General features: G+C 34.1%; 1 pseudogene; it reads left to right on the top strand.

Moving 5' to 3' along the window:
* Positions 1-3051: 3051 nt before the first annotated feature.
* The window catches only part of TARDBPP5 (TARDBP pseudogene 5), a 46702-nt pseudogene continuing 36116 nt past the window's right edge, over positions 3052-13637 (top strand).

Here is a 13637-nt window from a genome sequence, read left to right as displayed (position 1 = left end):
TTTTATTTATTTAATTGTCTATTTACTTTGGCTAGGATTTCCTGTACTATGTGAGAGTGAGCATCAGTAATTAAAACAGAAAAATACTGGCATAAATACAGAAAGACAGGCACATAGTAATGGAACAGAATAGAGGGCCAAGAAATAAACACACACATACAGTAAACTAATCTTTGGTGAGGGTACCAAGAATACACAAAAGGTAAAGATAGTCTCTTCAATAAATGTTGTTGGGAAAAGTGTATATCCACATGCAAAAGAATAAAGCTGAACTCCTATCTTACACTGTACATAAAATTTAACTAAAAATGGATTAAAGACTTAAACATAAAACTCCTAGAAGAAAACACAGGGGAAAATCTTCTTAACATTGGCCCTATGATGATGTATGAATATGACACCAAAAGCACAATAAATAAAAGTAAAAACAGATGAGTGGGGATTTATCAAACTAAAAAGCTTCCCTACAGCAAAGGAAACAATCAACAGAAGAAAAAGAAAAACATGAAATGGGAAAAATATTTGCAAACCATATGTTTAATAAAGGATTAACAGTCAAAATATGTAAGACACTTCTCTACAACTCAATAGAAAACAAACAACAAGACAAAGGGCTTGAATAGATATTACTTCAGAGAAGATATAGAATGACCAATAGTTATATAAAAAGATGCTCCCTATCACTAATCATTGGGGAAATGTAGATCAATAGCAAAACGAGCTCTCATCTCACACTCATTAGAATAGCTATTATCAAAATAGTGATATCAAAGATACGAAGAAAGTAAAACCATTTACACTGTTGTTGGAAATATAAAATGTTGAAGCTTCTGTGGAAAAGAGTATGGAGTTCCTCAAAAAATTAAAAATAGGACTACTGTATTATCTAACAATTCTGCTTCTGAGTATATATGCAAAGAAACTACAACCAGAATCTCAAAGAGGTATCTGTATTCCCATATTAATTACAGTGTTACTTACATAAAAAAGATATGGAAGCCACATAAATGTTCATGGCAGAAGTATGGATACAGAAAATTTGGTATATATGTACAGTGGAATATTTTTCAGCTTTGTAAAAGCAGGAAATCCTGCCATTTGTGACAATATGGATGAACTTCAAGAGGTTATGCTAAGTAAAATAAACCAGTAATGGTAAAACAAACACTACATAATGCCACTTCTATGATAACTTTGAAATAGTCAAACAAATCGATGCATATAATAGAAAGGTGGCTACCGGGGGTGGAAGGAAAGGGAAATAGGGTAATATTACATAAAGAGTACAAAGTTTCACTTATGCAAGATGAATAAATCCTAGAGGTCTACGATGAAGCATAGTGTCTATAGTCAACAATATTGTATTGTATATATAAACATTACTAAGACTGTGGATCTTGTTAAGTATTCTAATCACACAAAAAAATAATAATAACAATAAATAAACAGGGTGTAAATAGATGACAGATATGTTTATGGCATAGATTTTGGTCATGGTTTCATAGGTTTATACTTGTCTCTAGACTCATCAAGTTGCATAAATTAAGTATGTATGACTCTTTGGATTTCAATTATACCTCAATAAAAGTGTTTAAAAGTAAAATAAAATATTTACTCAAATAATATGTACAGCCACCAAATATCCAAAATACTTTGACTACATAGATTATATTATAATATTGTTAATTATATGAATAATTAGTAATAAGTTCATAATTTAAAATCATCTACCCCTGTTAAAGAGAAGGTAGAAGTAAAATATAAAATTAGAAAGTTTGATGGAGAATGGGTCTTCTCGTACTTAACTGGACACAGCTCATTACTTGATTTATTTTCCTGGTAGAAAGAGTTTTTAAAAAAGACATGCAAAATTTTATTAGGAAGACTAAATATAAATTATTGAATATGATTTACCTAAACACACACATACACACACACACACACACACACTCACACACGCATATGCACACAGAGAGAAAAATACAAGTAGAAAAAGTCCTATTTAGCAAACTGAAAGTATGATTTTAGCAGAAATAATTCAGTGAAGATAGTAACCAAATCCCTTTAAAAGGATTTAAGCAGACATTAAAAGACAGAGAAGCACAACTCACCACTTCACAATTTTGCATCAAATTGTGTGAGGCAATATGCAGAGAACTGATAAGCAAATGAGTGAAAAATTGAACAAATAAGAGTACACAGTTTAATATTTTTTTCTGATAAAACTAGCCAAAGTATTCTCAGTATGAAATTCATCAGGTGCCTTAATGGAAGTCTGAAGGTAACCTTGAAAATGAGAGGTGCTGAATGACCCAATGATAATCTGATTAGTACAAAAATGTGTCAATCATGGAATAATTCACCTGCTTTGGCTGTTAATGTTAGTGAATTTCCCTTTAACAAAATAAAATATTGATGCATTTTAATAATAACATAAATTTATTTCCCTCTTAATTTGAGTAGAGAAATTCTTAATATGAAGTCACACTGTGAATAAAATATAACATTAAAGAATACAGTGTTAAGTACAAGAGTTTATTTGTTTCAAGAATAAAATAATCTATTACTTTGTGAATAGTTTATATACCACCATTCTTTTAAGAGAAGCTTTACACAACTTAACTGTATTGATTTCAGGGTGTTTACTGGGATATTCTTTAGTAGTAAAATGTTACACTGAACTCAAAATATGTCTTTGAATGTAATTTATCCAAATAAATATGACATTATACAGCATGAGAAGAGATGAAAATATGTGGTAGATTCAGACAAATGACTATTTTATTTGCTAAAAGATACAAATTTTTGATACTCTTCATAACATGAATGAATATTCCAGATTTTAGGCTTGGTTAAAAAAGTCGGAACCAGAAGATTCCATATGGTATGCTTCTGAGGTATATGAGCATGGGTTGGCAAGGAAGGCCAGGAGAGAACATGGTTCAGAATTTTGTGAGAAAGAAGAAGTAGCTGGGCTGCTGTTGGATCTGTAGCTGCCTCAGTGGCCCTACTGGGCTTCCTAGCAGTGGCCTAGCAGAAAAATAAAAAATATCTGCATGTATTCAGGTAACTAGAGACAAGAATTATGAGCCCATTGAAATACCATCAGAAGATGATAGAACAGTGCTGCTGCCCACGGTTACAGTCCAGTTTCCAGGGGCATGTGGGCTCCCCTACAGGATTCCAGTGTCTCAGGTATTAGGAGTGTCTGCTGGTAGAAGGAATTCTGCATGCCCCCAGTGCTGGCTGGGGAAATTTGGTGTACGTTGTCAACTATTCTGTAGATAACTACAGAAAAAGGGAAAAGACAGATACTTCATTAGCCATAAAAGTGAAAAGAGCAGTCCAGAAAACATCTGCTTTAGCAGTGTTGGGTCTCCCATGGAAAACAACTGAACAGGATCTGAAAGAATATTTCAGTACCTTTGGAGAAATTCTTATGGTTCAGGTCAAGAAGGATGTTAGAACTGGCTATTCAAAGGGGTTTGGCTTTGTTCATTTTATAAAATATGAAACCCAGGTGAAAGAATGTCACAGCAACATAAGACAGATAGATGATGGTGTGACTGTACAGTTCCTAACTCTAAAGCAAACACTGAATGAGACTTTGAGAAGCAAAAAGATGTTTGTGGGGTGTTGTACAGAGATTATGAATTCTGATAAGCTGCAGCAGTTCTTTGGTCATTGCAGAGAAGTGATAGATGTCTTCATTTCCAAACCATTCAGGGACTTTGCCTTTCTTACATTGCAGATGATTAGCTTGCCCAGTCTCTTTGTGGAGAGGACTTGATTATTAAGGGAATCAGCATACATATATCCAATGCAAGTGTAAGCACAATAGCAATAGACAGAAAAAGGTGGAAGATTTGGTGGTTTCCAGGTAGCTTTGGGAATCAGAGCGGATTTGGTAACTGTAGTGGGAGTGGAGCAGACCTGAGAAACAATCAAGGTAGAACATGGAGGGTGGAATGAACTGCAGGGTCAGGCAGTGGTTTTAACTGAGACTTTAGCTCAAGTATGGGTTCTAAGTCTTCTGGCTGGAAAATACAGACTTGGGGGGTATGGTTGGTTGGAATCAAACGGTGAAATTACAAATTTTTCTAAACTCATGGTAAGTATACATAAAATACATATGTACTAAGAACTTTCAAAATTGGTTTGTCACATGTGGAGTATATTCAGCAGTATTTTTAACATTTTTCTTTAAAAAAAGAGGAATAGCTAATGGGATTTTATAAATTTTGTTACATAAAGGGTTGAAATATTGAGTGATTGAAAGTGAAATGTGTTAGCCTAACTTGACAAATAAATAGTATATAATTGATATCAAAAGGATTCCTCTATAACATTTTATCCGTGGACATGTCAATTCTGTCCTCATTCAAAATGGAAACCATTGATTAAACTATATTCTTTTCTTCTTGTTTTAATTTAAACCCCATCATATGAATTTTTTTTCCTTAAGAAAATCTCTTTTGGAGAGATCATGGTGTCAAGTGTTTAGTTCTTTTGTTTTCGTTTTTACAAATCTCATCTTGAATTGTAGCTCCCACAATTTCCATGTGTTGTGGGAAGGACCCAGTGGGAAATAATTGAATCATGGGAGCAGTTTCCCCATACTGTTCTCAAGGTAGTGAACAAGTCTCACCAGATGTGATGGTTTTATAAGGGGAAATCCTTTTTGCTTGCTTTCATTCTCTCTTGCTACTGCCAGGTAAGAAGTGCCTTTAGCCTTCTGCCATGATTGTGAGACCTCCCCAGCCACATGGAACTGTGAGTCCATTAAACTGCTTTTTCTTTATAAAATACCCAGTCTTGGGTATGTCTTTATCAGCAGCCTGAAAACAGACTAATACAGTAAATTGGTACTGGTAGAGTGGGGTGCTTCTCTGAAGATACCCAAAACTGTGGCAGTGACTTTGGAACTGGGTAACAGGCAGAGATTGGAATACTTTGGAGGGCTCAGAAGAAGACAAGAAAATGGGGGAAAGTTTGGAACTTTCTAGAGACTTGTTGAATGGCTTTGACCAAAATACTGATAATGAGATGGACAATGAAATCCAGGCTGAGGTGGTCTCAGATGGAGATGAGGAACTTGTCAGGAATTGGAGTAAAGGTGACTCTTGCTATTGTCTAGCAAAGAGACTGTTGGCATTTTGCGTCTGCCCTAGAGATTTTGTGAAACTTTGAACTTGAGGGAGATGACTTAGGGTATCTGGCAGAAGAAATTTCTAAGTACCAAAGCATTCAAGAGGTAATGTTGGGTTCTGTTAACAGCATTCAGCTTTAAAAGGGAAACAGAGTATAAAAATTTGGAAAATTTGCAGCCTGACCATGCAATAGAAAAGAAACAGCCATTTTCTAAGGAAAAATTTAAGTTGCTGCAGAAATGTACATAAGTAATGAGGAGCCAAAAGTTAACCACCAAGACAATGGGAAAAATGTCTGCAGGGCATGTCAGAGCTATTTATGGCAGCCCCTCCCATAATAGGCCCAGAGGCCTAGGAGAAAAAAATGGTTTTGTGAGCTGGACCCAGGAGCCCCTGCCTGCTATATACAGACTTGTACTTGGTGCCCTGCATCCCAGCCACTCTAGCCATGGCTAAAAGGGGCTAAGGTACAGCTCTGACCATGGCTTCAGAGGATGTAAGTCACAAGCCTTTTCAGCTTCCACGTGGTGCTGAGCCTGCGGGTACACAGAAGCCAAGAATTGGGGTTTGGGAACCTCTGCCTCAATTTCAGAGAATGTATGGAAACACATGGATATCCAAGCAGATGTTTGCTGCAGGGGTGGGGCTCTCATGGAGAACCTCTGTTAGGGCATTGTGGAAAGGAAATGTGGGGTGGGAGTCCCACGTAGAGTCCCTACTGGGGCACTGCCTAGTGGAGCTGTGAGAAGAGCACCACCATCCTCCAGACCCCATAATGGTAGATCCACTGACAGCTTCCATCATGCACCTGGAAAAGCCACAGACACTCAATGCCAGCCTCTGAAAGCAGCCTGGAGAGAGGCTGTACTCTGCAAAGCCACAGGGGTAGAGCTGACCAGGACCATGTGAACCCACCTTTTGCATCAGCTTGACCTGGATGTGAGACATGGAGTCAAAGGAGATCATTTTGGAGCTTTAATATTTGACTGCCCTGCTGGATTTTGGGCTTGCATGGGGCCTTTAGCCACTTTGTTTTGGCTCATTTTTCCAATTTGGAGTGAGCGTATTTATCCAAATGCCTGTACCCCATTGTATGCAGGAAGTAACTAACTTGCTTTTGATTTTACAGGCTCATAGGCCAAAGGGACTTGCCTTGTCTCAGATGAGACTTCAGACTGTGGACTTTTAAGTTAATGCTGAAATTAGTGAAGACTTTGGAGGACTGTTGGGAAAGAATGATTGGTTTTGAAATGTAAGGACATGAGATTTGAGAAAGGCTAGGTGCAGAAAGATATGGTTTGCCTGTGTCTCCACCCAAATCTCATCTTGAACTGTGGTTCCCATAATTCCCATGTGTTGTAGGCAGGACCCAGTGGGAGATAACTGAATCACAGGGGCAGTTTTCCCCATATTGTTCTGGAGGTATTGAATATGTCTCACCAGATCTAATGGTTTTATAAGGGGAAAACTCTTGCTTGGTTTCATTCTCTCTCTCTTCTCACCATGTAAGAAGTGTCTTTTACCTTCTGCCATGATTGTGAGGCATCCCCGGGCATGTGGAACTGTCCATTAAATCTCTTTTTATAAATTACCCACACTTGGATATGTCTTTATCAGCCACGTGAAAATGAACTATTACACCATCATATACAAAAGTTCAATATGAAGCCTTCATTTAATCTCTGTAGTTAACCTCATTTCAAATTTTTCTGGAAGTACTTTATTGAAAGTAGTGCTGTAAAATTTTGCCATAGGTATACTTCTGTTTACATGCTTTCTCATTCAATAATTTGTCATCATGTGTCATAGGCCGCATCTTTGACAGTGGGTGTCCCATTTTTATCCATTACTGTTTATTTCATGGAGTTGTATCAATGCTGTGGATGCAAGGCTGTAATATGGAATCAGAAAGCTTTTTGAAGTTTTGCAACTTTGTGTGTGATTGATGGTGGTGCCAAGGCATGAAAAGCTAGTATGAGCGAGAAAAGGAGAAAGCACATGCAAAGACTTAGTGGAGCATAATGAATACTTTTTAACTTGGCAAGACATATATCTCTAACTTGTGGCTTTGGTGAGAGAGTGTGCAGAAAGCAATGACAGCAAATAATGTATGAATGTGTTTTGCATTCAAAGGACATCCACATCTGTTGGAAAACTTTAAGTGAAACTTTTAGTGACTTTTTTCTTATATAACCCACATTAGTTGAATGCGTTAAGTGAAACAATACGTGTATTCCCCCTACCACTTTGTCAAGTTCTGTGAATGCTGTATGGTGTGTGTTTCTTTCTGTTACTGATATGTAATTTTGCTAATGCGAACTGAAGCTGTTGGGAGAACACTGAGAACATGGACTGAACTTGTGTGCTTTGCAGGAGTACTTGGAAGCCGAGTTCGTGAGTGAGGTCAGGCATCTCAAAGAAGGGTTGAAGTTCTAATGTCTGTTAGCTACCCATAAGACTGGTGCTAGCTGCAGTTCTGTGTCCCATGCTTGGATGCTTTTTATAAGAGTTGTCAATATTGAAAATTCTTAAATAAAACTGATTTAAATAACAAATAAAAATATTTATGGATACATAATAGTTCTATGTTTTTATGGGGTACATGTGATATTTTGATACAATCTTATGGGTAATAATCAAATTAGGGTAATTGGGATATCCACCACTTCAAATATTTATCATTTATTTCTGTTGGGAACATTCCCATTCCGTTTTTCTAGTTCTTTTGATATATACAATAAATTGTTGTTAACTGTGGATATCCTATTGTGCTATAAAACACTAGATATGGTTCTTTCTATTTCAGTGTATATCTCTCACTTATTAACTAACCCCTCTTTATACCCTTTTCCCACTACCCTTCCTGGCTTCTGGTAACAATCATTCTACTTCCTACCTCTATAAGGTTAATTGTTTTAGCTCCCATATATGAGTGAAAATATGTGATATTTGTCTCTGTGTGCCTGGATTATTTTACTGAACATAATGTCTTCCAGTTCCATCCATGTTGCTGAAAATGACAGGATTTCCATCTTTTCAGCTGAATAATATTTCATTGTGCATATAAACCACATTTTCTTTATTCATTCATCCACTGATGGACACTTTGTTTTATTCCATATCTTGGCTATTGTGAATAGTGCTGCAATAAACATTGGAGTGCAGATCTTTCTTTTATATACAGAGGTAACATTTTATGTTGTTATGAACTGAATTTTCTTGAGTATGGGTTACACAGACAAATGAATATTTCAAACTTCATCTAAGAGCACACTTAAGATTTGTGCATTACACTTAACATATATAAGTGCTAATAAGAAATAAAGTGCACTCAACTAGAGTTGAATCTTGAACAACATGGGTATTAGGGTTGCTGAACTTGTGTAGTCAGAAACCCACACATAACTTTTGATTTCCCAAAAACTTAACTGCTAATAGCCTGCTGATCACCAGAAGCCTTATTGAAAACAATAAAGTCAATTAACACAGATTTTGTATTTTATGTTATATGCATTATTACCTGTATTCTTACAATTAAGTAAGCTGTAAAAATGTTGCTATAAAAATGAAAAAAAGAAAATCATAAAAAAGAAAAAATATATTTACTATTTATCAAGTTGAAGCAGATCATCATAAATGTCTTCATCCTCATCATCTTCACATTGAGTAGGCCGAGGAGGAAAAGCAGTAGGTTTGGTCTTGCCTCAGATGTGGCAAAGCCAGAAGGAGATCTATGTATAAGTTGTCCTGTACATTTCAAACCCGTGTTGCTCAAGAAAAAAGTATATATGTAAATGAATACTAAGTCATAAGCAAATACCTAAATGTAAAATGACTACAAGCAAATATTACTTTTTAGTTTCTAAGTTTGATACTCTCTGGAGTATTGTTTAGCAATCATAAAACTGCTGCATAGTGTGAGTCTGAGCAAATGAGTAATATTATTGAAGATAATAATATGTGCATTTCTCACTGTTGGGAAAGGGAGGTGCAAATTGTTTTATAAAGGGGAAAAATCAGAACAAACTCCGAGATGCTGGTTTGGAATTATGGGAATTCCTGGCTTTAAACATAGATCCTTAAGTGTATGTATAAATAATTATATGTATATGTATTATTATTTTTATTGAATAATTATTATGTGTATTAAATAACTATATGTATATGTATATATAAATAATTATATAAATGTATACGTACATTTATAAACATATAATGTATACCTACTTTATAGATAGATAAATAGAGAAATTGAGAGATAGATAGTTTATAGATGATCTACACATAATCTGTAAATACTTTGCTGATAAGATGTAGAAGCAATGGTGTGCAAGTAGCAATGAGTATCTTACCATCATTGGCTTATAAATATCATTCTAAAGTATGTAGTATCTGGCTCCTTAAAGATTTGAATGATTCCAGAACTGAGGCATAAAAAGCATCTTATGAGTTAACAACAACTTGCTATTCCAGAAACTAAAAAGGAGGGCAAATGAGGTAATGCACCTTTTCATTAACTAGATTTAACTATTCTATAATGCATATATATTATATTATGTTGTACATAATAAATACATACTATTTTATCTTCTGATTGAAAAAAAATTTTTTTTAAATCAGGGAGCCAGCTTGAAGAGGCTCCCGCTGGTCAGATATGGGACAAGTTATGCCTTAAAATAGTGATCGTATTGGCTTATACCTTTTAATATTTTCTCTGGCCAGGGGATATGCAGCATTTCTTGCAATAGCTCCTACCTGTGCCAGTAATCAATATGACTGAATTATCAGCATCTAAAAGGAGGTGCAACACTTTCTTTTAACTTTTATTTCTTTGGGATTAACATGGAAGAGCCCTGGTTCTTAATATTCATTAACATACATGTTCAGTTGCTTTAACATTCAATATCACTGCAACCAAGTAATGTACATATTTAAACTTTAAATCAACACTCACGATTTTAATTATATTATACAATTGTCTAGTGAGTTTTAAAAAAGAATTTTACTACAAAAAGAAAAAAGAAGAAGAATGAAAAGCCATTACCAAAGTCATTTTTTCAGGCACTCTTGGTAAAATGATAAGAGTGTGCAATTAGAAATCCTGGATTTGGGATTTGAGTCTGATACTTTAAAGAGCTGTGGCATTGGAGAAATCATTTAATATCTAAAATTTATTATACCTCAAAATGTGGGCAATACAAATAGCAATCATGTCTATTATAACCCCATCCCAGAGTTTTTGTGAAAGTTGTTAGGAAGCTTTTCTTAGAACTGTGTGACCGTGTCTTACTTTAGCCCTCCTTCAAGGTCCCAGTAAAATCTCTGTCATCAACGAGACCTCACCGTTATTCCAAAGTCTTCAATAAAATGTATCATTGGATATTAAATCACAAGGAAAATTCTTTGCTTTATTATAAATTCAAAGAAGCCATTGTAAAAGAAAACAAAAGCCCAAAGAAAAGTATTAATTAGTAGAGTCATGAGCTAAGTATTTAGCTCCTCAGTTTTTTTCTATTTATATTTTTGTGAGTGTATTACAAATTATTCATGCAAGAGTAATTGAATGGAAAAGAAAAATGTCCAAATATTTCTAAGTTAGTTTTATACAAGAGATGTAAAGTGTCTTTAATACTCAATATTTGAATTTTAAAAGCCAGTCACATTAGATTTCATTACAAAGACACATAAACACAAACCTATACCCATATCCCCATATCCCATTGGTGATTCATGTTTTATACCCAAATAAAACATGCTGTGATATATGCACTTGTCAATGAAAGAATAAAGTACATTTTGTCATAATTCCCAGTGAAAAAACCATTTTTCAAATAGGTTCCATGCTGAAATGATAATATAACATCCTAATGTTCTATTTTAGCAGATTCAAAATGAATACTTGGTACTCTCTCCATAGGATAATATAAATAAATGCAAATATAAATGGCTTATTCTAGTTCCACAGGTTTACAATGATTCTCAAGTGTCTCTTAAGATATGTCTCTTAAGATTATAATAATGTTATAGCTTAAAATTAAAACTTAATTTAAGCTTAGAATAGATACGTAAAATAGTACAAAGTTTTTTATTTAGATTTGTAAATACTGCGGATTTATAAGCATATTTAATCCAGTTTATTTTTTTCTCTTTAGCATGAGTTTTATTATCAAAAAATTTGATTGAACAAAAATTATTTCAAATATTAGGAAAAAAATCCTAAAATCTATATGGAACAAAAAAAGAACCCAAAGCCAAAGCAATTCTAAGCAAAAAGAACAAATGTAGAGGCATCACATTACACAGCTTCAAATTATACTACAAGGCTATAGTAAATAAAACAGCATGATACTGATATAAAAGTAGATGCATAGAGCAATGGAACCTATAACCCAGAAATAAAGTCAAATATTTACAACAAACTTGTTTTCAACAAAGAATACAAGAACATAAATTGGGGAAAGGACAGCCTATTCAATAAATGGTGCTGGGAAAGCTGGATAGCGCATGTAGAAAAAAATGAAACTTGATTCCCGTCTCTCACTGTGTGCAAAATCAACTCAAGATGAATCACATATTTATTTCTAAGACCTGAAATCATAAAAATTCTAGCAGAAAACCTAGGATAAACTCTTCTGGACATTAGCCTAGGCAAAGAATTTTTGACTAAGACCAAAAAAGCAAATGCAACGAAAACAAAAATAAATACATGGAACCTAATTAAACTGAAAAGCTTCTCCACAGCAAAAGAAATAATTATCAGAGTGAGAAGACAACCCACAGAATGGGAAAAGATATTTGCAAACTATGCATCTGACAAAGGACTAATGCTCAGAATTCATAAGGGACTCAGATCAGCAATAAAACAAACAAACAAACAAATAATTCCATCAAAAAGTGGGCAAATTACATAAATAAACATTTCCCAAAAGAAGATATAAAAATGGCCAACAAACATATGAAAAAATGCTCAACATCACGAATCATCAGGGGGATGCAAATTAAAAAAAGAATAATATACTGCTTTACCCCAGCCAGAATGGTAATTATTAAAAATTCAAAAAACAACAGATTTTAGCATAGATGTGGTAAAAAGTAAACACTTATACACTTATATGCTGCTGATGGTAATGTAAATTAGTACAATCTCAGTGAAAAACAAAATGGAGATTTCTCATAGAATTAAAAGAAGATCTACCATTCAATTCAGCAATCCCACTACTAGGTATCTACCCAAAGGAAGTAATTATGTAAAAAAGACATCTGCACACATATAGTTATCAGTATGCAATTTGCAATTGCAAAGATATGGAGCCAACCTAAGTACCTATCAACCTACGAATGGATAAAGAAAATGTGGTATATATACACCATGGAGTTCTACTCATCCATAATAAATGATAAAATAATGCCTTTTAAAGCTACTTGGATGAAACCGAAGGCCATTATTCTAAGTGAAGTAACTCTGGAAATGGAGAACCCAATATTGCATATTCTCACTTATAAGTGGGAGCTAAGCAATGAGTATACAATAGCATATGAGCCAGTGTAATGGACATTGGAGACTCACAAGGGAGGAGGGCTTGAGAGGGGTGAAGGATATAAACTACATATTCTGTACAATGTACACTACTGTGGTGATGAGTGCACTAAAATCTCAAACTTCTCCTCTAAACAATGCATCCATGTAACCAAAAACCACTTGCACCACTAAAGCTACGGAAATTTAACAAAGAAAAGAAAAAGAAAAACACCTTTAGGAGAAAAATGGCTCACAGTAGTCAACCTTACCTCTCTAGATTGCTGACTTCTCTTAGTTCCCCCTGGTTCTGTTATTCTTCACTGCCTTTTGGATATCTAATACCTTCATGTATTTTTTAATCTCATATTTGATATTTGTCCTTAAGGGAAAGGTTATAGAATTCTCGTTTTCCATTTTCAAAATCAGATATCATTTTATATTATTGATTGATTATATAAGTATAAATGTAGATATTGGTAAGATTAAATTTGAGTCCAGTTTACCAATTGCTTGCATTAAGAGTAGCTTCATTTTTATTTTCTTTTAAATGTAATAAAACATAGAAGTTCAATAAAAAGAATGTTAGTAAATACATTATGTAGGGAATAAATGTCTATTTTCTTCACACATTGGCCTCTAAAACCATTTCCAGTGCCACTAGAGAGCAATTTCCTATGCATTCAAGCTTTTCCTATGCATATACAGTATTAGATTGTTAGATAAATAAAGGCAGATGTGGATAGATATTTATAATATATAATATATATTTAAAATATATAATATTTATATATAATATATATTTAACACATAGTATATACATTTAAAAATGTAGATTTTATATATATATATATTTTAGATCTATATAAATATATAGTCCTTGGCATGTTTTAATGGGATTAAATGATACTCAATCTTCTATAATTTGAATTTATTCTCAGACAAAATATTATATTATTTGAAAAAATAAT

This window comes from Homo sapiens, chromosome 6 (assembly GCF_000001405.40).
Source record: "Homo sapiens chromosome 6, GRCh38.p14 Primary Assembly".
Taxonomy (NCBI): Eukaryota; Metazoa; Chordata; class Mammalia; order Primates; family Hominidae; genus Homo; species Homo sapiens.
Note: the sequence above shows the minus strand (reverse complement) of the source record. Positions and strands in the feature narration are given on the sequence as shown.